Source organism: Homo sapiens, chromosome 6 (assembly GCF_000001405.40).
Source record: "Homo sapiens chromosome 6, GRCh38.p14 Primary Assembly".
Classification (NCBI taxonomy): domain Eukaryota; kingdom Metazoa; phylum Chordata; class Mammalia; order Primates; family Hominidae; genus Homo; species Homo sapiens.
The window spans coordinates 69,854,707-69,881,406 of NC_000006.12; the positions used below are offsets into that span (position 1 = coordinate 69,854,707).

At 37.6% G+C, this 26,700-nt stretch overlaps 1 protein-coding gene across 8 annotated transcripts in view, besides 3 other annotated features; it reads left to right on the forward strand.

The window, feature by feature from the left end:
- The window catches only part of COL19A1 (collagen type XIX alpha 1 chain), a 345,913-nt gene continuing 331,062 nt past the window's right edge, over positions 11,850-26,700 (forward strand). For 5 of the 8 annotated variants that reach the window (XM_011535437.3, XM_017010253.2, XM_017010254.2 and 2 more), the window contains exons 1-2: positions 11,969-12,299; positions 24,830-24,952. In XM_011535437.3, the coding sequence (XP_011533739.1) occupies positions 12,257-12,299; positions 24,830-24,952 (166 nt within the window). In that variant the 5' untranslated portion in view covers positions 11,969-12,256. Of the gene's footprint in view, positions 11,935-11,967; positions 12,300-24,829; positions 24,953-26,700 lie in introns of those variants that run through there. The other 3 variants (NM_001858.6, XM_047418188.1, XM_017010259.2) reach the window with 3 other exon arrangements.
- Positions 12,488-12,537: a silencer, noted in NCBI's record as "silent region_17314". NCBI's record gives its function as "represses an Ori minimal core promoter by ATAC-STARR-seq in GM12878 lymphoblastoid cells {active_cell/tissue: GM12878}" and the evidence as "EXISTENCE:reporter gene assay evidence [ECO:0000049][PMID:35858748]".
- Positions 12,758-12,807: a silencer, noted in NCBI's record as "silent region_17315". NCBI's record gives its function as "represses an Ori minimal core promoter by ATAC-STARR-seq in GM12878 lymphoblastoid cells {active_cell/tissue: GM12878}" and the evidence as "EXISTENCE:reporter gene assay evidence [ECO:0000049][PMID:35858748]".
- Positions 12,818-12,887: a silencer, noted in NCBI's record as "silent region_17316". NCBI's record gives its function as "represses an Ori minimal core promoter by ATAC-STARR-seq in GM12878 lymphoblastoid cells {active_cell/tissue: GM12878}" and the evidence as "EXISTENCE:reporter gene assay evidence [ECO:0000049][PMID:35858748]".

The window sequence follows — 26,700 nt, forward strand, 5'->3', positions numbered from 1 at the left end:
TAGAAAGAATTTAATGTGATAAATAGACCAAAATGAATACTTCTTTCTATTGCCAGCTTATCTTCTACAATAGATCACTGTGTAGCAATTGGAGGCAACACAGTCTCAGACCTCATCTCTTACTGTTCTCCTCTTTGTTTGCTCCATTTTAGCATCACTGGCATTTGTGGCGCTCCTTGTATACAGCAAGAGCATTTCAAACTCAGGACTTTCATACTAGCTTTTTCTTCTGCTTGTTATATTCTTGCCCCCAAGAATAAAAAGATTACCTTTTTATTTCTTTCAGGTTTCTGTTCAAATGTTACCTTTCTAGTGAAGCTTTCTTGACCACCCTTTACAAAAGAGTAACCCATGCCCTGCCTTACTCTCAACAGCAATCCTGGCACTATCTCTTGCCTTCCTTTATTTTCCTTTAACACTTGTGTTATCATTGGATATACTCTATATTATTTGCTTATTTCTGCAATTAATATCCATCTCTTTCCTTAGGAAATAAGGTCTATGAAGAAAGAAAATTTATTTTGTTCACTTTGGTATCTCAATGACTACCACAGTACCTGGTGCATGGTAGTCTTCAATAGATATTTATTGAACAATTGAGTGCTAAATGCATAAGAAAGCATTTTCAGAAGGTTTTCAACTCTTCCAAGCCAACAGATTATTATTCACGGAAATTAAGCTAACTCTTCCAATTAAAACATAGCATTGGCAAAAGGAAAAAACCACCATGCATTCATTTTGTTCTAGAAGAATTGTTATGCATATCTGTAAATAGTTAAACCAAAAGTATTGATGGAAAGATTGGGAACTGTCCCGATCTCAATTAACTTTTCTATCACAATTCATGTAAAGAACATGGAATCCTGTCCTATTTTGATGGTTGTTTGCAAAGAAGTAAAAACAGCACAGGGACCTTAATAAATATTTGTTGAATTAGAACATATATATGTTTATATACACATATAATGTATATATCCTATTACAGACAAAGTTCTGTGACATTAGAACCTCTTGTTTATTCGATGAAGAAATATTCTATTTTCTCTTGTGCCTCTAATTAAAACAGAAGGCCAAATGCTCCAACGTTGTAAATTACCGAAGTATTAACCAAAGCCAGCTGCAACTTATAAATGCCCCCCTTTTTATAAGAAGTCAACTTGGGCATGTGTTCTTCTTGGTATTATATAGCATTTGATATCTCTTGTTCATGCCTTCCAATTTTTTAATAGCACATTATCTTCTTTATGAGGTTTCCTTAAGCCCAGTAATGTATTCAACATACTCTGAAGAAACACATACACAAATGCATTCATTTTAAAAGCCCATTATTTGTATACAGCATGTGGTAACATAATAAAGGACTGAGGTTTTAACTTTCTCTATAACAAAGTACCTGAGATACTAATTAAGACATTTATATGGGTGCCAGTGTAAAACCATGAAGAAATTGGTCAACAGTATTTAAAACTGTAACATTACCTTAAATTCACAACGAAGAGATGTTAGAACAGGAGACTCAGTTTTGCTTAGAACACAAGTCATGCTCTGATAGAAAGCGCTTAGAGAAGCACTTAACTCTTGCAAGCATCCAGGAAGTTATTTTAGAACTGTAAGATACACAGTGTAGTAATATAGGCACTGAGGCAGTGTTAGGCCCTAGGGATAAGATGACCAATTAACAACACTTGCACAAAAGCTTACAATACTAGAACAGCTTTCAGGGGCTTTTACTGATCCACAGTCACTTAGGTCCCAAATCAGATTTTTGAAAGTGAATCCTAAGTAAAAAGGTGAGTACACTAGGCCCTTCTATCTTTTGACGTTTTGTTGGTGTGTTATATGCTTTGAATCTTGGGTCACCATACAGGCATTAATGCCTATATTCCTGTTATAATATTCATAAAGCCTCCTTTCATTCTTGAAAATATTCCTGTTTTGGAATAATCTGTCTGGCCGCCCAATATAAACCCTTCTGCATATATCAAGTGAAAAGCTTCTTTATCTAAGAGGCAGGAGTCATCCAAGATCTTCTCTTTGCAGACTACACCCTTGGAGAGACTCATTAAGATGAAAGACACAAAAAGGCCTAAGAATTGATTTACTTTGATCACTTAAAGAATACATCTTGATGTTTGAAAATAATTTTAAAATTATGTTTTCATGTGTGTATATACGTGATTTTAAAATATGGACAATTTTAACTTTAAATTTAGCCTTGGTCATATGAACACTACTGGGACTTCAATATTTAAAAAATATATTATACCAAATACCAGTATTTTTTAGTAACTGGGTTATTATTATGTTCTCTTTTCCCAAAATAAACCGACAGCCTCACAAACAATGAGAGATTATTAAATAAAGGAAGAAATGTTAGGAAATCATGTCTGACTATTTTTTCCACTGATTGCAACCCGACATTATTGGAGATCTGGTCCTTTACACAGAGTGGGAAATCTCCAAGACGACTGAAGGTGGTTGAGTAATGGCTCAGACCTCAGCCACTCACTAATTAACTTACCTGCTGTATCAGGAAATTATGTGAGTAAATATGGTCATTTACTTAACTTATTTGATATTCAAATCACTGGATTATTAAAATAATATTTTGCCAAGTCTTACACAAGTGACTTTAGTCTAAAAGAAACTTAAACACTGGATCCACACAGACATTTTTAGTTTATTTCTTCAAGCCCATAAAACAACTCTAAAATGTAGTGTTTAATTGTCCCTACCCTGTCTATACATCTGTAAGAGTCTCTGTGCTCATAATTATAATTATGATTCATGAAAAGAAAAGTTCTTTCTCTGGAATCCCTTACTTTTCCCCTACTGTCTCCTTTTTTCCTTTCCTCAGTTTATCTAAGGTGATTGGACAGGAGTCATCCAGGGCTATAGCAACTCCAGTTCAGGTTGAGGGACCAAGGAAAGCTGTTAATACCCTACCTTCTGTGGGAAAAATCTGGTTTCACTTGTGGGAAAAATCTGGTTTCACTTGTAGAACTTGCTGCTTCAGTCTGTTCCCTCTTGGAGAAGCTAGTGCAATTCTAGGTTGCCGCTTCTATGCCGTGCCCCTCTTTCTCCTCACAATGTGATAGGAAAGCACTTGGAAGGGCTTGTGCCCTTGCTTGGCACCCCAAGGCAAATTGTAACACATGGCCTTGACTGTCATTTATATACGATATTCTCTCCTTTTCCCCCTTTTCTAAAGGATGAGCATTTGAAAACAATGCAACTTTAATTTTTATTGATTAAAGGGAGCATAAAAACATGATTGGCTCAAACCATTTTAAAAGTCTATTGTATCCTTGAGATATAGGTTTGTTCTATGCCTCTGTTTCCTTCAGCCCTTACATCCAGCCCTTCAGTGAGTCTTTTCAAGTCTACCTCTAAAATGTGTCTTGAATTTGTTTACTTTTTATCTTCTACAAATATCATCCTCATTGTAGCCATCATCATCTCTCGCCTGGGTACAACAGCTTCAGAAATGGTCTCTTTATATGTATTCTTGCCTTGCTACAACCTATTCTCCATAGAGAAGGCTGTGATCTTTTTAAAACAAAATTCAGTTTATATAATTCCCCTGCTCAAACCCTCCAATACATTCTTACCTTGTTAGTGTACAAAATACACAATTCACTGAAATCTAAAAGGCCCTGCAGGATTCAGCTGCAGACTATATCATCCTTTATCTTTACCATGACCTCTTTTGCTTACCTGCTTCTAGGCATGAAGCCATTTCTATAGTCATTGGACAGACCCAGGTCTGCTTAACCTTCCTCTGATCTTTTCAGGGCTGGCTCCTTTCTGGCATTCAGGTTTCAGCTGAAATATCACCACTTTGAGAGGCCTTCTACAGCTATTCCATCTAAAGTTGTCCCTTACAACCTCCGCCGGAAACTTTTAATCACACCACATTATTGTAGAGACACCTAACAGGTTTTTGTTTTGTTTTGTTTTGTTTTGTTTTTGACACTAAATTTGTAATGGCTAGGTGCAAACAGTTCTGGTAACTTCCTCTCTCAGGCCCCTCAAGGTCTAAAGAAGACTAAACTGGCTTAATAGTCATTGTCACCAGCAAATCAGTGGAAACTGCAAAAGAAAAGGAGTTCTTCTAGGAGAGAAAGGATTGAAGATAAGCCAAAGAGTCCTTCTCACCACATTTGGGGTATCGGATCTCTCTCCCCTGGGGCTTGTGTTTCTGAAACCTAATGATAGGACTCACTTCTTCCCTTGAAATTTCTGAAGGAGGGATGCCTGCAGGGCAAGTGGAAACTACAGTTTAGGTTTTCTAAGAAGGAAAGGTTAGGGATGTCCACATCCCAGTTCTCCACATTTCTGGGAAAGGATGAAGTAGAGGATCTCTTCAGTTTCCATGATCTCATGTGAAAGTGACTGGCATTAGCTAAGGGATAGGACTTGTAGAGCTGAACTGGTAGTTGCTTAGTGGGATTTCTGGAGGCAAGAGACATTAAGTAGAGGATATAGGACATACCACTGGTGGGAGCTGAATGAAGATGCCCTTTGTGCATCTTCCTAACCACAGAAAATTACAATGCCCCCAATTCATCACCCTCTTATATCTGTGCTCTATGCAATGTAACTTCGAAGCTTGTCCCATCAAGGGATGGAGTTTTGACTCTTACCTGGCCTGTGACTTGCTTCAGCCAATAAAATTTGGTAGAAGTGATTGTGTGTCAGTTCTGAGCCCAAGCTCAAAAGGCCTTATGAGCTTTCATTCTGTCTTAAACCCCTGGGATCTCTTGGACCAGGCTAGTCTGTTAGAGGATGAGAGATCATATGGAGGAGAGATGGCTTTTCCAAGTAATCCACCTTCCTACCAGCCAATACTCTTATGCCCTGCCAGCTGGTGGCAGACACATGAGAGAACCTAGCTGAGATCAGCCAAGCCCAGCCTAGACCAGATGAATTTCAACCAGCAGACTTGTGAGCAATAACAAATGGTTATTATTTTCAGCTACTGAGTTTTGGAATAGGTTATTATGCTGCAGTAGCTAATGATATGTGGGTGAAAAAAGCTGAATACTGTCTGAGAATACCATTTGTTACCTTCTATGCAACTGTCATTCTAAAAGAAACCACCATCAGACTGACATTGATGGAGAAAACAGGTCTTTCCTTTGTATCTTAGTCCATTTGAGCAGCTATAACATAAAACCATAAACTGGGTAAACAACAGAAACTTAATGCTCATAGTTCTAGGGGCTGGGAAGTCCAAGATCAAAGCAGATTCAGTGTCTGGTGAGAGTCTACTTCCCCATAGATGTCTATCTCCTTGCTATGTCCTCACTTAGTGGAAAGGGAGAGGGCCTCTCCAGGTCCTTTTTTATAAGGGCACTAATCCTATTTGTGAGGTCTCTGCCCTCATGACCTGATTACTTCCCAAAAGCCTCACCTCCTAATACTATCACCTTGAGGGTTAGGATTTGAACATACAAATTTTGAAGGACAAAAAGCACTCATATCATAGTGTTCTGCCTCAGATGGCAGCTGGCTCCGGATGCAGCTAGCATCCCAAGGGCTGGGGCCAAAACTGAGTGATGGCACCGCAGCAGAACCAGCTGAGCAGTAACCACGATTAGGGATAGGATTAGGATGAGAGCCATTGTCTGGCAGCCAATGCAAGCAAATCTTTGGATAAAAGATAGTGGACTTAAGAGATTTTAATGTTGCTATCTGAAGCACTAGAAGTTATTATGAGGTTTTTATTAAAAATAAAACAGCTCTGTGTGGAAAACAATTCTGTACTTTTTGGTTAACATCTGAAGTGATTTAAAAGAAGTATAGATTTATGAACTATTATTATTTCCTTTACTAGCTATGTTTTATGACTTCTCGTAATTACTTTAAAAGGGGTTTTATAAACATAGAAGTTTACATTTCAAATGGGTAAAAATGGGTTTCTGGTAAAATAATTTGACAGCAAGAATGTCCTCAAATATCAAAAACACAGGTAAATCTGTCACCTTTGATAAAGAACAGAGTCAAGTCCAATTTATCTTATTTTGCCTTAGTTGAATAGTCAACTACGAAAAGCTCTTTGCCTAGTCTGCTATGTTGTCATTTTTTCTCTTTTAAGCCAACAAAGACTAAAGCATGTTGCAGCATATGAATAAAGAAATTCTAGATCCAATTAATTCATTTATGGTTTTCTTTTCATTAAAATTGGTTCTTGTTGTATACGTATTTTTCTTTTTTGTAATATCTTATAAGAGGAATGATGTAACTTTGCCAGGTAACTTTGAGGCCTCTGCTCTGCTTGAGCACCCACTGAGCTGTTCTTTTGGGTGTTGTAGCTCTGGATTGCAAATAGGTGCTTGCAGAACATTTGTTAAAGAAGTGATTGAAGACTAGGTACTAGAGCATAGTGAATGTGACTCTGAACTTTGGAATGAGACAGATCTGGGTGCAAATCCTGGCTACATCAGAGATTTGTTCATAGCCTTATTGTACTGTAAAAATAGGACAACAAAATTACTGAAGGAGTTAAAAAAGATGAACTATGTAAAGAAGTTAGCACTGTGCCCAGGCTAGCACAAGGGGATTTTTACAAAATGATTCTATGAGAATCATGGAATAAGCTAAATCGGTTCTAAATTGAAAATAAATGTTCCAGTAAAAAGTTACAACAAAGAGAAGCTCAATTTTATAGACATAAACTTTACATAACATATGAGCCAAGTGATCATTTATGATACGCCAATGTTGCATTATTCTTTTTAAAAATGTTGTAGATAGAATTGGTTGTTTAAAAACATTTAGGAGTTAGATCATTTTTCATGGTCTAATAATAATAAGAGATTAAACAGGGTTGTGCTCTATTACTGATAGTGTAAATTTACCTTAAGTTTGGTAAAGGAATGAAGAGAATATATGATGAGGATGTTTTCAATTGATGAGAGTCTTGTCTTCCTGTGTTGCTGTCCTCAGAGTTCCTGCTCTGGGAGTCTTTTATAGGTGAGAACATTTTTTCCTGTGATTCTTTTATCAGTAGAATAATTCCCTTAGATATAACACAACAAGGAACCCATCATTTTTTCCAGACAAACTGTAAGACTCAGTCCATACTTCGTCATTAGAAAATTTTATGTCCTTGATTATTTAACCTCTACAGGTTTCATTTCAACAAATATTTGAAGACTATATTAAGCAGAATTAATTCATCATACTTGATGCTCCGGGTATTATTAAAAATGAGAGGACCCAATTCCAGTCCTCAAGGAGCTTACAATTAAGTCAGAGGATGCAGTACAAAAATATTTCTGAAACAAGGCCGGGGAATGTAGATCATCATTAAAGAGGCACAAATTGTGCTCTGTGCTGTTCAGAGGCAGAGGAGGGTTTGTCTGATGGGAGGAGGGCAGGAAAGGAATCATCTTATAGCTAACACCTGAAGTAAGCCTTGAATGACTGGCAGAATTCCCAAAGCCACTTTGCATTTCAGTGGGAGGCAGCAACATGAATACGCTGAGACATGCTCATTCTGCGGTTACAAGTCACTAAATCTGGTTGTGGCAAAATGTACATTTAAGGGAACTGATAAGAGTAGATTGGGTGACACTGTTTAGGACTCTGAATTTGGCAAAAGGTTTTAATTCAGCAGGAAATAAGAAATCTCATGTTCTTCATCTGAATAAGAAGTAGCCTTGTTCTCTGTGGATTCTTTCAACAAACATTTATTAAAGAAACAGTAAACCCATAATTTCATAATTATTTAGTTACAATGCCCTTCTCTGTACTATGATTCTATAATTATTTGTAAGTATATTTATTTAGACTAACAACAAATGGATAGATTTTGTCCACTGAAATTTTTTGATTCCAATGCTTCCACGTTTGAACATAGTCCCTCCACCTTAGAACTCAGTTAGAGCTTTATAACTACTTTGTTTATTGCATTTTGCATGTTCATATCCTATTATTATTACGTATTTATACATGTCTTCTTCTTCCTTTTTTTTCTGAATGTTAAACTCCAGACAGTGGGGCCCACGTTCAATGTATCTTTGTATACTGTGCAGTGGTCGGTTTAAGAAGCATTCAAAAATATATGTTGAATGAATAAACAATTTAATTAACATCTGCTTCCTAGTGAAATCACTAGACTCAGTTTAAATGGCTTAAATTACATACTAATTTTTACCTGGAAGATTCTTGTTGAAAATGATTGAAAATCTTATTTAAAAGGCCAATTTCTCGGCTCTCTTAATACCACTGCTTTACTAATTTGTTGGAGATAAAACATCGCATTTTTTCAAGTTTGTTATATTTTTATTACAACAGTAACACATGTTCACTGCAGAAACTTTACACATTACATATAAGCAAAAAGAAAAAATCATAATTCTCAAAATCTCAAACTATAAGTAACCACAGTCACTGTTTTAGGGTAGTTTATGATGCAGTCTATGTGCATTTTTTTTAACGCTTTTAATAAACATGGCTAATTTGCCCTTTAGAAACACTGAACTATTATATGTTCCTGGAATTGTTGAGAATGCTCTTCGCTTATAGTAACACCACGTCTAATCAGCAATATTAATCTTGGCAGAATGGGTAGGGGAAAATAGTTCCTTTATAAATGTGCATTTCTTTGAATACTAATTAAATTGAATATTTTTCATAAATGTATTGACCTTTTCTATTTCCTTTGTAAACTGCCTCTTTGCTTTTTGGCCTATTTTTCTATTGGGGTATTTCTTTCTCTCTCTTTCACTCTGTCTCTCAAATGATTTTTCAGAACTGGATGTATATTAACCAACATTTTCCCCAGTCATTTGTCTTTTACCATATTTCCTTTCAGAGTCACTGATCCCTAGGAAGAGTCTAATAAACTAAGTGAAAGTCACATTATGATCGCCTCTTCCTTTCATTTCTAAACTGAGTAAATGTCATGAGCTAGAATGTCTTCTAGGAAGGGAAGCAAACCTAAAAACAACCAGTGGAATATTATTTTCTCTATGAAGAGAATTATTTTCAGAAGCAACGGTAAACACAGCATTTAAAATAAAAAGATGTCCTAATTTACTTTTGGCAATTACTCAGAATTTAGAATTGATATAACTACTTTCTTTTTACCCTTAAGAATATCATACATAGTGCTGGCCTAAAAAGGAATATAATGGGAAGTGCATGCTAGGGATGACAAGTCAGATTTGGTAATTACAGTTAACAGTAACGTCTGTTCATCCACTATTGACGCATTGAAGTATTTCCATGGGATATGTAAGGGAGTCATGTATAGCTGTGCCCCATAAATTCAATAAAGAATGAACACTCTTATGGTTTGGTAACTGAGAAGTTAGCTGGGGGCAATGGTGAAATTCTTTCTTCCTGAAAAATGGAAACTATGAAAGGGGAGAAAAGTGAAAGACATTACAAAAGGGAACAAGAGCAACATGACTGGGAGTACAGAAGTATAGAAAAAAGGAAAAAAGAAATAGACATAAAGTAGACGAGATGGACAACTAAGGGTTAGGAGAAACACATTTTAAAAATGTATTAAATCCAAATTATAAAAAATGGTACAATGATCATTGTAAATTGTTAAATTTATATCAGTGGGGCATTACAAATATGGAACAGTTTTTTAAAATGTTTTCAATGGAATTTATCCCTCACATGACATAAAAACATTTAATTGTATCTTCCTTTAGGCATAAATGTTGAAAGAAGTTCGTTTTTTAAATCTGTTAAATTTTTTAAGTACATACGTGCACACAGATGAACTTGGTGTTAGAAGTGCTGCAAGCTGTTTATTAAAACTTAGAGTGCTGTCAGATTCCCCTGATATTTTCAGATGTTTGTTTACCAGCAGTAGCTTCAGAAGCAAGAAGAAAACCGGATCATTTATAATTGTATTTGGCTTAGATAAATAAAAGGTGTTTGGCTAAAGGTTCTTCCTAATTGAAGTCACTTTAAAATTCAATAAAAAGAACTGGCTAAAGAAGCAAACCCTAGGTATACAATAGTTTGTAATCATGAAACCAGCCTAGATTCAAACCCTTTCCTGAAAGAAAAATAGAGAAATATTTGTTGCCCTGGGGATGTTGGTGTATCTAGAAACAGAATAAGCAACAGATAATAATAATTTGAAGTTTTATTTATTCATTTTTCACTTTCTTCCAAAATCTTGCTTGGGTCAATATTAGAAATAAGAAAAGGGCCATTTTGAAATATAAACAAAAATATAAGTGTTTAGCTCTCTCAAATATCTTAACAATTATGAAATTATTAAAATGTTTAAGAAAATAATTCTAAGATAAACTTGATTTACTTGTATTAAAACAAAAATTAGAGACAAAATTGTGGACTTCCTTTTAGGTAGTTTTAAAGCATTACTTTAAATAGTTTCAATTAAGTGTAAATAAGGTGAATTTAATAGTCTGACAAAGAAATAAAGCCTGGATGCTCTTAGTTCAATTCATTAGTGATGGCAAGGTATATAAAGTAAAATTGCTTAGAGAAAGAAAAAAATCAAATGGGATAATACTTCAAAAAAATAGAGACTGATCACCAAAAGTCTAATGAAGGTTTGTGAATCATGTTTTTCAAATGGCCATTTGAGTAGCGTGACTCATGCAATATCCTCCCTCCTTGGCCTCTTTCCACAGTCAGCCAAAAATTAGTGATGAAAATCATATGAGAAGGAAATGTATCAAGTGGTTTTAAATCCTGACATAGAAACATGGTTTGCATCACCATGAATGCCGAACTCTAAAACTGCAGGTATCTTGATTAGGTTGAGAGAGAAGTTTAAAAATCACAAGTGATACTTTAATGGTTTCACTCCAATGAAGTGGAAAGGAGCTATCTTTTAACATTTTTCTTAACATCTTTATTTTTTGCCTGCCTGATTTTATTTATTCCTTGATCTGTGAGCTCTGATATGTGAAGTGTATTTCTATGGTTCTAAGGTAACTTTTAAGCTTGATGATTTTCACCATTGTGGATCAATAATATAATTTATCCTATTTCTCCCACTGTGGCAATACTGAAATAAAAATGTAAAACCAGTTTATCTGTTTTCTAATGCCTGGTTTACTCTTCTGAATTCTATAAATCATTCTGTTTTTCATATATACACATACATATGCATACACTATATGTATACATATAAATTTACTATATATGTATATATACCTACAAATATATATGCCTACAAGTATCCATATATACCTCCTATATATGTATATAAACCTACTATATATGCCTACAAATATATATATACTCTCTCTACACACACATACATGCACCTACACAGAAATCTGCAGGAAAATGACACTTTCACATATTCAAAGGGATCCCAAAAGAGTTCAAAAGCCAAGATTGGAAGCACCAACCCATGGAAAGATGTATTTAAAATCACAAAATACTTCTGTGGACACTGAGAAAAACCAAGCCACACAAACGTTTACATATGAGCGTGATTAGAAGGTGGGCAGACTGCCTTAATCAACTTTATATAAACTCTTGACATAAAAGTGAAAAAATGAAACATAAATGATATATTTTCTTAGCTCAACCGTTAAAAAGCCAATTACCTACTCGTGAACGTTTGCCACATACAATAATACTTTGAAGACACTTCATGATCAGAAGTGAGAAACTCTAGGCATTTGCATCCAACCGTCATTTTATCTGTGAAACTGCTAGTAAAACATAAACCTGAAAGGCATTACTCCCAGCTCTAAGGCGACATCGCTGTCATTAAAGAAAACCTGTGCCTGAGTTGGCTGAGTACCTTCTTGCAGAGTCCTCTGTCCTCGCGGAGTGGGAGGGTCACACTGGGAGAGACTAATAAGGGCAGAGATGCGTCCCCCTTCCCCACTCGCAGGGAGCTCACTCCTCGGCGGTGCCGCAGCCCTGTCCGGACTCCACTGCGCCTCTGAGGGGCTCAAATACGAATTCAAGGTAAGCTGCGCGGCTTTGCGACCGGCTCTGCACTTGCCCTCTCACACATGCCCGGGCTATGTCATCTGCTCGTGTTCCTAGTTATCTGTGTGCATCTGCTTTTCAAGAAAATGTAAAAACTGTGCTACACATGGAAATATGTTTAGGTGGATAAATAATGCACACCTGCATACGTTTCCATAGGGGCCTTAAGGATGGGACCAAAAACGTTTGGCAGGAGACGGCCACTCTCATGTGGTACATACCATGTAGTTCGTGTTCCTATGTTCACATGATGCAGGCTTCATGCGTTACACCTAAGTTCTAGGTGGTTTTTCTGGCTATGTGTGTCTGTGAAGCGGAACTATGGAGCACTGCTGATGCGGGTAGGGACAGACATCAAATACATTACAAAAAAAATGGGGGGTTAAAGGAGTAAAACAAACTCACTATCAATTCATGCCGTTAGAGCGCTTTTTTTTTTTTTTTTTGACGGTGTTAGCCCTGGAAGCGAGGCAGCCAGTTAAGCGGCGTAAGCTAAGAGACGCGGGGTTCCGGTGCGGTGCCCTCCGGCCCGGGGTTACCTACTCCACATGTGGGTGTTTTTCCCAAGTGCGGCTTCTGGGGGGCGGCGCGGGCGCGGGCGGGGATTCCCGGACTCCAGCCCCACCACGTTCCGGAGCGTCCGGCCCTGTTCCTTAATTACCCTGCAGCATGCGCAGCGCGGTCGGCCACAGCGCCGCCGCCGTCCCCGCAGTCCTCCCTGCAGCCACCGCCGCCGCCGCCGGAACGTCCCAGTCGCGGCGCGAGGAAGACGCGGCCCCAGCCTCTGCCGCCTCCGCTGTCAGAGTCCCGAGGCCACCGCCGAGAGCGCGCCGGCGCCGCAGCCACAGCGGCCGAGAACCAGGAGGCGGCGCCGGGCGGCCCAGCTAGGGCGCTGCAGGGTCGCGAGGAAGTTTGTTGGCCCGGAACCAAGCACGCCGTCGGGCACGCTAGCTCCCCGAGAGCAGGCGGGCGCGTAAGCGAACCCCCTTAGAGGTTACGGAGGGAGCGGGAAGCCGGCAAGAGGGTGGGCAGAGGAGCTGGGGGACAGGCGGGTGCCACAGGAGCCCCCGAGGAGCTTCATTTGATGAGAAGGTGAAGAGGCAGAGGGGACCAGCGTGCCTTGTCAGCCTCAGGGGACAGTGGGCTGGAGAGCAAAAAGAGGAGGGCCCAGAATGCTGATAATAAGTAGTTTTAATAGAACAATCCGTGAATAGAGGCAAGAGAGTGATCATCGGCCACAGCTTGAGATTGGGAGATGGAAGAGTAAGGGAAATAAATTGCGCCACCTCCCTCAATCCCCAATTCCAAGACGACTCAGTCCCATCTTCTGCTTGGATAAGTCTGAGGAGGATTAAGATGTGAGGATAATCACTCTGCTGTAGGGGAATTTACATCTGCCTGTTAATGGAGGAGATGAAACAAACGCACACCAGTATCTATTTTCAACCACCACCCCTCCCCAAAAAGGAGAGAACACCAATGCCTCCCCCTCTGCCCGAATCAAACACTGCTATAATTCTTTAGGAGACTAAAGGGAAAAAAAAAAAAGAAAGAAAAGAGCCCCTGCTCGTATGTGGGGTCTTGGCATCTCCTTGTTTTTGAGTGGTGGGAAACTTGCAGGACCCTCTCTAAGTAGAGAGATCTTTGATATGGGCCTGCAAAGCTGAGATATTTAGGTATTCCAGTGGTGAAAAACATGCATAAATGCCCCTTCCTGAGGAGGGCTGACAGGGTTTTTGTGTAGGAATATCTCTTCAGGATGAAAAAGAGGAGGGTGACCCCCAGAGGCAGAAAATTTATGCTCTCTCTAGGGGATAGAAAGTGGAGAAAGTAACTGTCAGGTGCTTCCGTTAGGTTTTGTCCTACCTGAGCTCTCTAAGTGCTAAGGGACCTAAATGGGGTTTCCTGGGAAAGGAGGGAGACAGTATGGCAAAAGAGCAGGAAAGTGAACCTGAAACTGAAATGGACAGGACTAAGAAAGAGCAAAAAGGTGAAAGAAACCCAAATGTGATTATTACCACAATTGGGACATCATCTCTATATCTGAATCATTCTCATCCTAGAAAACCATCCAAAACAGATGGGAACTGTTGGTATTTTCCAAAAATGGAAAATTTCCATCTACTTTCTGGTCCTCCAGTTTAATCTCTCCTGCTGCAATTTTAGTTTATTTTCTCCAGCAGGCAGAAATGCCAATGTGGGTACACAGAGTCAATGGTTCTAGAGGCGGAAGAAGATATGAAGTTAGAAACCATGGTAGTGTGACTAAGAGGCATCACAAATGAAAATTCAATTGAAGTATGAAAAATAAACTGAAATGCAAGGAAGTAGGGCTATAGATATGCTAATATATAACCCTGAAAAGATGCTGGAAAAAAAAAAAACCCAGAATGAATAGGACCAGAATTGAGTCATCTGAGGCAGGCCACATTGAGGATGTACATCTTAAACAGGCAGAGAATAACTAGCTTAGCAGAAGAGATCCAGCAGGGAGGGCATTCCAGCCAGAAGAAATTGCATGTGTGAAGGCTTAGAGGTAGGAGCAAACAGTCATGTGCCTGGTAAGACAGAAAATCCAAGCGGGGTGAAATCTGAGATGAGTAGAGCAGATAGCACCTGCCAAGGAGAGATTGGAAAGGACTGGCTAAGAAGCAATAGGCTTTTTAGGGTGTTATTTTGTAAGCCAATAATAAAATAATCAGGTGAGCAAGTTGCATATTAAATTCGATAGAAATATGATGTATGCAGAGTGGACTATTAGGCCTCTCTTATCTATGCATACGTTATGAAGCACAAAGGATTTCTGACCTCCTCTTTTTAAGAGAAATCAAAAGTAATTGTGAAATTTTAAGATTATTAGATCAGAAAACCAGTAGAGCCCTTCAAATTGAAAAAAAATGGGAAAAAGGATGAATTTGAAAATACGGCCATATATTATATATTAATTTAAGATGATATTGGATCATTGATATAGATATATCTGTGGAACACAACAGAGCAAGAGAATTGTAATCAGAAAAAAATGTAGGTCAGTTGTGATGGTTGAAATTGAGAATGGTACCGGAAAAGTTGATGGAAACAAATCATAGTTCAGAGAAGTGAGTCGGTAAAACAGACAAGTTGATGAGAATGGAGAGAATAGGTTAAGTGTGCTCAAAGGGAATCCCAGGTTTGAGACCCTCTGGAATGTAGACACTAGTTTGGAAGTAACAGAAGTAATAACAAAACTGAGGAAATGTAATAGAGTTGGACATATTTCAAAGTAGTACAAACATTAGGAACTAGGGAGTATGCTTTCTGTGGAGGCAGAGAGCAACTTCAATAGTACTATTTTTTTGTCCCACTAAGTAACTGAAATTATGTTCACTGAGCTTTCTTTTAGTAATTTTTACTCTATTTCTCCATCATTCTTTTCTTTATGCCCATCATTCTACAGATGTTAAGCCCATACCTGTCTATATTACTTAATGGTTCCCAACCTTTGATTTGTTTATTTTTAGTCCAAGTGTATTGCCTTAGACTGTATCATTCTACAGATTGATCCCATGAATACCTACTAAATGTCAAGTTTAAAGAAGACACAGATAAATAAAATACAATCTGTTTTCTCCAAGATGTTCAATATAGGGAAGAGAAAGAATGCAAAGGAGTTATAGCAGTGCAGTATAAAGTGTGCAGAAGCATAAGTGGGTATTGAGCTCTGTTGAATCACAGGACAGTGAGTAGTGAACTCTCCCTGGTATGATTCTCACAGACTTCACAGAGGACATGGCATTTGAGCTACACGTTGAAGGCAGACTAAGTGTTTTCCAGATCGGAGAGGATTGGAAGGACTTTCCAGTAGCCAAAAAAGCACATGCAGAAACCTGTGAATTGTTAATAATTTGATGGCGGAGAGTGTTTGGAAGGAGGTAGCAGGACAGGTGGTTGGACAGATGAGTTGAGGCCCCACTGTAAAAGAGCCTTGAGTGCCTCACTTTGGAGTGGGCAATGAAGAGCCACCAGAAAACTTTGAGCAGGGCAGTTAAGTGACTAGGTCTTTGTTTTAGAAATAGAATTCTTGAGAAGTAGGGAGGTGGAAATAAAGGGAACAAGATGGAGAAAAGGAATCCAGTTAGGAGTCTATTGCAATTTTCCAGATTAGGAATGGTAAAAACGTGAACTAAGGCAGTTTCAGCGAGGATGAGAAAGTTGGTATGGATTCAAAAGACGTTTACAAATAGATTTGATAGACTTTGACAGAGATTTGATATGGGGTGAGGGTGAATAAATTGAAGATGATTTTGAAATTTTTAACTTGAGTTCCTAAATTAATGATGATGCCTGTAATTAAAATGTGTAGGTCATGAGGTTTCTGTAGAATATAATGAGGGCAGAAACTTTGCCTAAATTGCAAAAGACATCTGCAAACTTACTTCAATTTAATTACTCCAGCCACTGATAAAACTAAGGAATAATGCTAGACCTAGTCGTAAACTCTTAGGGATATTTTGCCTGATTATTGGCTTGAATTTTTTACTCTATAGGCTTGGCTCTTCAGCTGGTTTTCTCTAATAGTTTACAGACTCTACTATAGCTTCACTAAAGACAGATTCTAAAGATTGGTGAAAGAACAGATGTGTAACACCTGTTGTTTTTGCTTATTTACACAATGTGTCACTTCATAACAGTATGACCAGATTTTCCTGGTGGAGTTACGTATGTATAGGCATACTGGATGGTGGTCAAGAAGTTTTGATTTAAAAATCAACCTACACAGTCACACATTATTTCCCTTTATAATAAATGCTCTGAAAACATGAGTTCTTTGAGTCATTTAACAAATTAAATCTACTTTTTTGAGAGTTGAGATGCCATGTACATTAAATGTAACAACGTATGTAAAGCAAATAAGTGTTCTCTTTCTATTTCCTCCTCTTTCTCTCTTTTTTCATGGTTCCTTTCCATATTATTTTCTATTTTGGTGTTGGCTTTAACACTCTGACCTTTTACCTAACACCAAGTTTCAAAGATGTACAATGAACACTTTAAATTGTTAGATGGCTTAACAGTAAAAATGTTAATGTTTCACAGGCAGATTTGATTTGGCTCACTCAAAAACTGGTGCTGAGAGGCTCCTGACCATCTTATTTAGCAAGTCCACCATTTTTTTTTTTTTTTTTTTTTTTGAAACGGAGTCTTGCTCTGTCGCCCAGGCTGGAGTGCAGTGCTGTGATCTTTCGGCTCACTGCAACCTCCGCCTCCCAGGTTCAAGTGATTCTCCTGCCTCAGCCTCCTGAGTAGCTGGGACTACAGGTGCCTGTCACCACACCTGGCTAATTTTTGTATTTTTGGTAGAGACGGGTTTTCACCATGTTGGCCAGACTTGTCTCGAACTCCTGACATCAGGCAATCTGCCTGCCTTGGCCTCCCAAAGTGCTGGGATTACAGGCGTGAGCCACCATGCCTGGCTGTACATGTTATTCTTTGTTTTTTGTTTGTTTTTTTGTTTGTTTTTTGTTTTTCATTTTAACTCTTTAGTGTCTCTCAAAGAAAACATGATGTTTGTTTACTTTTGAGCTCTGTGACCAGAGTGGTACAATGGACTTTCCCTATTTGGCTCACTGATTTATCCCCAGTGATTGTTACATAGTGGAACCTCATCCTATCAATAGGTATCAATAGGCTATCTAGAGGCCAGGTATTAATAGGATATCAATAGATATCAATAGAATATCTATTGATAGGATGAGGTTTCTTAATGCCTATGATTAATGGTAATGAGTAATGATTAAGGTTTCTTAATGTCCCTCTCTATTCATTTTGTGTTTTCTATATACAAATAAAGATTAATAAGAACTTAAAAAAATCTATATCCTTATTCAAATATCTTTGGTTTCGATAGGTGCCTTAATGATTTCAAGAGCTAGATTAAGAAAGTTGAAGGGACAATGGCGTTTTAAAATTCACTTACCCAGCTGGTACCCAAAATTATTCCATATGGCAAATGATGGTGAGAATAATGGAATGGGGTAAAGGTTAGGGCTAGGCCTTCAGCCACTTATTATCTTTTTGTTGCCATAAGAAATATATTACAGGGACGGCTGTCTGAATGATTTTAAGACTTTATAGGCTCCATCAATGTTGTCTACTCAAGACTGCCAGTGCTGGGCACACTCACCATTGTGATTTTGGTGCTTTGTAGCACTGGGGAACTCTGGGGTCTGGCCAGAATCTTGATAGAAATAGCTGAAAATTTAAGAGAATGCATGTAGGAATGTGATATGTCTGTCCCACATCCTGAGAGTAAACATTATGATATAGCAGTAAAAGCATTTTAGTCAGGCAGACTTGGACTTGAATCCCAGGCTTTGGGATTATTCTATGAGCGTTAGTGTTTTTTATGTGTAATATGCGGATATAATACCTGTCTTCAGTACCAACATTAGGCCTGCTCTGGACCCTACATTTTAGAACACCCCACTATAGTCTTGCTCTGGATGTGCACCCGCTCTCAGAGTTAGGAGTTTACAGAGCTAAGGGGACCTGCCCACCTAAAACCTGAGCTTCTAGACCAGTCTCTGAATAATCAAGATCCTGAAATTCCCTGAAAAAAAAAAACGATCCTTAATCCCCCGCAGCATCTAACAGACCCTGTCGTTGGGTCCATCTTCCCAGGGAAAGACCACAGGTGTAAACACTCCTAGGCCCAAGGAATGGTCAAGAGTTAGCTGTTTGCAGGCATTATGGACACAACTTTGACTTACTGGCATATTTACATATGCGTGTGTGAGGCTTTTCAAGCTGCAGATGGACCCAAGAAAGAAAAAAAATGAGGGATGAACTTTGGTTTAGGCCAGAGGCCAACTCATCCCATATCACCTGCTCTGTTACATTCTAACTTGACATGGACTTTCAAGACTTTATGAAGGTATTTGCTGAAGAAAAATGAGAAAGCATATTATTTTTTATGAGTGTTATTAGCTTTATTTTAACTTTCAAATATTTAAACATATGGTATGCAGACCTCTTGCCCTGTACCCACCCTCATAATAATTAACCCAATGCCTTAAAGACCCCACCTCTTAATACTGTGACATTGGGGATTAAGTTTCTAACACAGGAAATTTGGGCAACACATTCAAATCATAGCACCAATATTCTCCATAGCCTTCTTAATATGTACTGTGAGCCATCTTTGGACAAGTTTGAGAAAAAAATTTGAGGGCCTTAAGAAACCTCAGGATCCACATATATTAGCTTGAGGTTCTTCATTAGCCACTCCATTGAGAAAGCATTAAAGATCTATATTATAGCTTAACTTTTATCTGGGAGGAGCAACACATTAAAATCTGACAACATTGGCTTGGTTCATTTGTAAATCTATCTTGATAATCACCTAGCTGGGACCTGTGGGGACAGGAAGGAAATGTGGCAAGTTTTGATGAGCAAGGAGGTTGTGGACAAAGCCAATAATTGAGAAATCCAGGGAAGGTACCAGAGATGTGTTCAGAGCATCAAGAAGAAGCCTGAGAACCGCAGGTGTCAGGGAATGGTGAGAGGTTTCTGGTCAGGAAAAGGAGAGGTTCAGAAAGACACAAGGCAAACTTTGCCCTTGTCAGTTTTGTTGAGGTCAACCTACCGGTGCCTCCAGCAAGGTTTACAATCTGAACAATTTGTTTTTAAAACATATACAAGGATTTATTTTGAGAGCTTGATGAAAAGTTTTTCAAATGTTCCTAGCTGAATGGGCTACACTTCCATTTTATCAGGATCTGAATAATAGAACCCTCAAATAGCGAACACATTTTAGAAATGTGCAGAGAGGCTGGGTGTGGTGGCTCACACCTGTAATCCCAGCACTTTGGGAGGCCAAGGCAGGCGGATCACAAGGTCAGGAGATCGAGACCATCCTAGCTAACACGGTGAAACCCCATCTCTACTAAAAATACAAAAAATTAGCCGGGCATGGTGGTGGGTGCCTGTAGTCCCAGCTACTTGGGAGGCTGAGGCAGGAGAATGGTGTGAACCCAGGAGGCGGAGCTTGCAGTGAGCCGAGATCGCACCACTGCACTCCAGCCTGGGCAACAGAGCGAGACTCTGTCTCAAAAAAAATAAAAAAAAAAGAAGTGTGCAAAGAGAAATAATATTCATGATAATGACCCTTGAAAGATTATAAGATCTTGTAATGCCTTAAGAATTATTTTTAAATATTGAATTATCACTACAGATTCCAAAATAAGTATATTTCACTGTATCTCAAGATTTGTAAATTGGCAGTCTCTTACTTTTTAAAAATTCAACAAATATTTATTGAGTCTCTGATTTTCCAAGTACTGTGCAAGGCACCTAGGATACAGTGATGGACAAGACAGATATAGTCCCTGCTCTCATGGAACTTAGAATTGAGTGGGGAGCAATAAACATACGTATACAGAAAAAATAATGTCTAAGCTAGAGACCAATGTGCTTCTTGGTCAGGTAAGGGCTTTTGCGCATAGTAACATTTAAATTGAAAACTGAAGGATGAACACAGAATGTTCCAGGATGAGGAAATAACATACACAAAAACCTTGAGGTTGAAAACAGCCTGGCAATTTCATCACTGGAAAGAATGGTACCATATGAGGCTGGAGATGTGGTTAGGGGCCTGGTTATTTGGGACTTCTAGGCTGTAGAACAGCTTTTGGACTACATTCAAAGTACAATGGGAAGCCATTAAAAAGCTTGAAGCAAGGAAGTGACATGAACCAACTCTCATTTTAAGAAAAGTTCTCTACTGCTATGTAGAGAATAACTGTGGTCAGAATTCAGTAATGAATGAATTCAGTAATTAATTGGAAGCTGTTGAGGGGTCTAGACCAGGGTGATCTGAACTGGGATAGTGGCAGAGAAATAAGAGAAATAAGTGGATGTGAGATGTGTTTGGGGTAACACTGACATGACTTGTTGATGGTTTGGAAGTAGGAGATGGGGATAAGGAAGACAGAAGAATCAGTGGGGTCCTTGGGTTTCTGGTTTGATCATTTTGATGGGTAGTAATTACTGAGACTGGGAAGAGCATGAGAAGAACAATTTGTGGTTGGAAATCAGGAATTTATCTGGATGTATTAAGTTATAGATATCTGTGTGACATCTAAGAGAGAATTTTGAATAGGCAGCTGGACACACAGTCTAAAGTTCAGTCAAGAGGACTGGATGGGAGATGTAAATTTTAGATTAACCATCTTACAGATAATATTTAAAGCCAAGAGAATGGTGACGTCATCTAAGGAGACATTATAAAGAGAGGAAAGGAGGGCTCACAGATCCCAGTATTAAGAAATCAGATAGAAGAAAGGTCTGAGAATATTTAAAAGGAAATCTGAGAGAGTGTCAGATCAGGGAGGCCAATAAAAGAGAGTTTCAGGAAGGAAAGAATTGTCGGCTATTGGAGGTGCCACCAAGAATTGAAGAAGGGAAGAGAAACGGATTCTTCTTTCAAGTTCCTGCTGAACTTGGTGAGAGGCATTTCAGTAGAGTAGTAGAATGGCAATTCTTCGATAACTAGAACATTTAGTCAACTAGCCATAAATCTTATTCTGCAAATACTTTGGATAAATGAGATAGAAGCTAAGTGGCTCAAGGAAGTAATTAGGAGATGTCAAGGTCGAATTCATATGCTTATAGCTTTGTAGCCCTCTGGTTCTTTGTTGTTTTAACAGGGACCAAAGCTTCGGTGAACATAAATTTCTAGGCTGCTTTGACACTTCTCCATTGTCCAAATATCAATATCAACCTCAAGCTTAAGAGACAGGTACAACTAAATTTTTCCAATTATTGTTTATTAATATGTACAGCAAACAATTATAATATCAGGTACCTTTTGAATATTGACTAAGTTAAGGCCCTATATAATACACATGCATTAAATAATTTATTCCTAGTATTATTTCCAATTTGAAGATGAATAAATTAGGGCTTAGAGAAGGTACATAGCTTTTCCACAAGTAGCAGAGTCCAGACATGAAGCCATGATTGTCACCACTGTGCCAAACTACTAATTTGTCAACCAATAGAAATCACTTTTGGTTAAAAATATAACCATGGATTTCTCTAAAAATAAGATCAATATTTATGAGTTCCTTCCTTTGAAATAAAATTAATTTCTTTAACAGTTACCAACTGACTTGAAATAATAGCTAGGATAATTTTGCAAAGTCATATGAGGATTAGGACTATATCTAGATGAGAGAATTCAAAAGAAATAAGGCTTAAAACCAGCTGTTTGATATTTAGAATGACACATACAGTTTTAATATTGCAATTGCCACTTCTAGCTATTCACCCAGAAAGATCTGAAATCTTGAATTAATTTTAAAATGCTGATCTTAGGGTATTTGGCACACACAGAATACCAAAGAAGATGGTGGCTTTAGTTTTTTTCCAGAGTGTCTACTGATAGAATTTAGACACTGGTATAATGAATTCTTTTATATTTGACTCTTGATTAAACTTTGAATGATGGCACCCAAGTGATATGACATTTATTTGCATATTTAGACCTCTTAGAATAGCTATTTTAATAATACTGCAATTACCAAATACACTGAGGGAGCCATTATATTTTCACTTGCAATTTATTTCCACATTAGTTGCTTCACTAAAAAAATTAATTTAAATGATGTTTAAGTTTTCCATTACAGGGGTCCTATTTACTAAATCTTTTATTTCAGTACCAAAGGAGTAGAAGTGTACATTCAGAAAGACAATTATTGGAGGTAATACATTAATATTAAATATGATGTCAATGGCAGGCTCAGGTGAGGTAGGCGTTGCACGTATTCATTTTTTCTTTATAAACATAAGGCAAGATTACTTTTCACATGTGCAGTAATCACTTCAGTAACAGTGATTATTCAATCCAATAACAACATAGTTAAGTTTATAGAAAACATGACATCAATTAAGCCAAAATATGTAAAACTAATATTCAGAAGGAAAAACAGACTTGTGAATAATATAATTATATTTTAATAATATGAATCATTGTATATTATACAATGCAAAAAGCATAGGCAACTTAAACAACTGGATTAAAAAAATGGGCAAAGGAGGCTGGGCATGGTGGCTCATGCCTGTAATCCCAGCACTTTGGGAGGCCAAGGTGGGCAGATCACGAGGTCAGGAGTTCAAGACCATCCTGGCCCCATCTCTACTAAAAATACAAAAATTAGCTGGGCATAGTGGCAAGTGCCTGTAATCCCAGCTACTCGAGAGACTGAGGCAGGAGAATTGCTTGAACCAGGACCTGGGAAGTGGAGGTTGCAGTGAGCCGAGATCGCGCCACTGCACTCTAGCCTGGGCTACAGAGCAAAACTCTGTCTCCAAAATAAATAAATAAATAAAAGGGCAAAGGGCAAAGGAGTTGAATAGACATGTCTCCAAAGAAGATACACAAATGATTGGTAAGCACCTGAAAAGATGTTCAACATCACTAATACTTAGGGAGATGCAAATCAAATGCACAGTGAGATACCATCTGACACCCATTAGGATAGTAATTATATATATATATATTTATTTCTTTTATTTATTTATTTATTTTTGAGATGGAGTGTTGCTCTGTCACCCAGGCTGGAGTTCAGTGGCACAATCTCAGCTCACTGCAACCTCCACCTCCCAGGTTCAAGTGATTCTCCTGCCTCAGCCTTCCGAGTAGCTGGGACTACAGGTGCCCGCCACCGTGCCTGACTAATTTTTTTATATTTTTAGTAGAGAAGGGGTTTCTCCATATTGGCCAGGATGGTCTCAATCTCTTTACCTCGTGATCGCCCGCCTCGGCCTTCCAAAGTGCTGGGATTACAGGCATGAGCCACCACGCTCGGCCTATATATATATTTTTTAAAAGACAAAATAGCAAGCATTATCTAGGATATGGAGAAATTGGAGCCCTTGTGCATTGTTAGTAAGAATGAAAATCGTGCAGCTGTTATAGAAAACAGTAGTCTGGTTTCTCAGAAAATTAAAAATAGAATTATTGTATTGTATTGTATTGTTAGCAATTTTACTTCTGATTCTATATACCCAAAAGAATTGAAAGCAGGGACTCAAACAGATATTTGTATATCCATGTTCATAGTAGTAGTATTCACAATAGCCAAAAGATGGGAGCAACCCAAATGTCCATTGATGGATGAACAGACAAAATGTGGTATATACATACAATGAAATATTATTCAGCTTTAAAAGAGGAGGAAGTTCTGAAACAATGTACAAAATGATGAACCTTTAGGACATATGTTAAGTGAAATAAAGTCATACAGATACAAATACTGAATGATTCCACTTATATGAAGTACCTAGATTAGTCAAAATCATAGAGAAAGAAAGTAGAATGAAGGCTGCTTGGAGTTGGGGGAGAGGAAAATGGGAAATTATTTTTTAATGAGCACAGAGTTTCAGTTTTGCAAAATGAAAAAAGTTCTGCAGATGGCGGGGATGGTTGCACAGCAATATAAATTTATTTAATTCCACTGAACTTTGTATTTAAAAATGGTTATGAACATAAATTTTATATTGTGTGTATTTGACCACAATGTTTAAAAATAAAAAAGTGTCAGTTTAAGTGTAGTTGCTTAAAAAAATTTAAAAGCAGAGAAAATTTAACTGATAAGAAGCTGTATCAACATCAATAACTAACTAGAAACTAATCTGAAAATCTTTTCAGAGCCCTTATCATACAGATTAAGGTATATATTGAGATACACCATTGCATATATAATCATATTTCCTGTTATATGATGATATATGATGTAACGTTGATTGGTTTTGCTTTGGTAACATTTTCTGGAGATGTTGAAAGGAGCTGCATACAATAAACTTTATTCAAATTTTTTTTTTTCTGTTGCAGATCCGTGGCCGTTCACATGGTTTCAAGGCACAATGAGACTCACTGGCCCTTGGAAACTTTGGCTTTGGATGTCAATATTTCTGCTTCCTGCTTCCACTTCCGTGACCGTTAGGGACAAGACAGGTATCCAGGCCAACTCTTTGCCTAATCACCAAATGTTATTTATAGCCTTTAAGTCATTAAAACAAATCTTGTTAAGATTGAAAAGGCCATAGATTAATGTACTATAACAGAATAAATTACAATTCATTGCTTTCTTCCATTGATCTTCCCATGATGCACATTAGGAATTCCTAAAATTACCTCATTTTTTTCATACGCATAGTATATTAGTCTATGTTTCCTTTCATCTTCAATATTTACAAGTATACATACATGCATGTGTGCCTCTGTGTGTATATATGACATTATGTATCTTTCCCTTTCCTCTTCAATAATTATTCAAGTTATAAGTATGGAAACTCATTACTAATTAGGATTAACAAGGACATATCTAATCTTAATTAGGAAAAAGTGAAAAATCGGATAGGAGGTATAAAAGGAAATGTAGTTTAATTATATGTTCATTTTGTAGTATCTCAGATGAGGCAAACAAAAGGTTGACAGATCTTTAGAGCACCTTTTGAACTAAATAGACAATATTTGCAATTATTAAATGTATCAGTCTTTTCATAAATATTTCCAAAAGGCTTAAGGGCAATTTGAAATATTTACCTTCATCTCTGCTTTTTTAAATTGATTATGTGGTTAATTTGGAAGACTTTTCTTGAACATTGAGTGTGTATAAGTTACTTAGCTAAATGCAATTCATATTACAAGGTTGAATTAGGCACATTGGAGAAGCCATTTGCTAGGGAAAGAGAAACTTCATCTCTCCTATGCAAACGATCACATATAATGTATTCTGATGATAATCACATATGATTATGTACTCTGAGACTGTATTATTGTGCCTATTGTTTTGAATATTTTTTCAATAATTTTTGCTAAACAAGTATAAACCCACTCTAGAGAGACTTTTGAGTTTGAGGCACACATAAAATATAATTACTCATAAAGATCTAACACATCGTAGTCTTTCAGAGTGTTATGTAAGTCTTTATGATTTTTTATTATTTGGCAGAAGGTGCATTTCCTAAAATAATTCACATGAAAGTTTGAATATTCTGTTATTGTACAAAAGACATCCTGTGGCTGTCATACAATTTGGGGGGGAAACTCTTTCTTCAGTGAGAAATTAATCAGCTGTGACTCATGGCAACTACAACTATGTAAAAAAGGAAAAGAGATGTTAGAGCAGCGGAGTTTATTCTGATACGATTTCTACTCTTCTGAATTTGTCTTTTTTGTAAAGAAATATAGTAGGTAATGTGCTTTGCAATTTAATCTGATATGACAGGACTTTTTTAGTTAGAAGGAAGAATGAATCTTTGGTTGAATAGGGACAGTTTTTAGGCACATGCTAGTGGGTAGTAAATGTTCTTGATGATAGCAAGGATTTGAAGGACCTAAATAAATGGTTCTCCAATTTTAACATGAAAAAGAATCACCTGACGTATTTGATTCCTGAGACCTCCTATCGCATATTCCCATTTTGCAGGTCGTACTGGGGTGGGATTTGGTAATTTACATCTTTAACAAGCTCCACAGATGAATCTAATGCAGGATTATCTGAGGAAAACTCTTAGAGAAACACTTACCTTTGGGATAATTAACAGACATTTTGGTTTTCTTTTTTCTTTTCACCTGGTTACCTTGCATTTTATGCACCATTTTATGCCAAGGTTACCTTTTTTTGTTATTTTATTTTATTGTTTGCTTTTAGTAACTTTTTAAAATTGTGATAAGAACACTTAACATGAAGTCTGCCC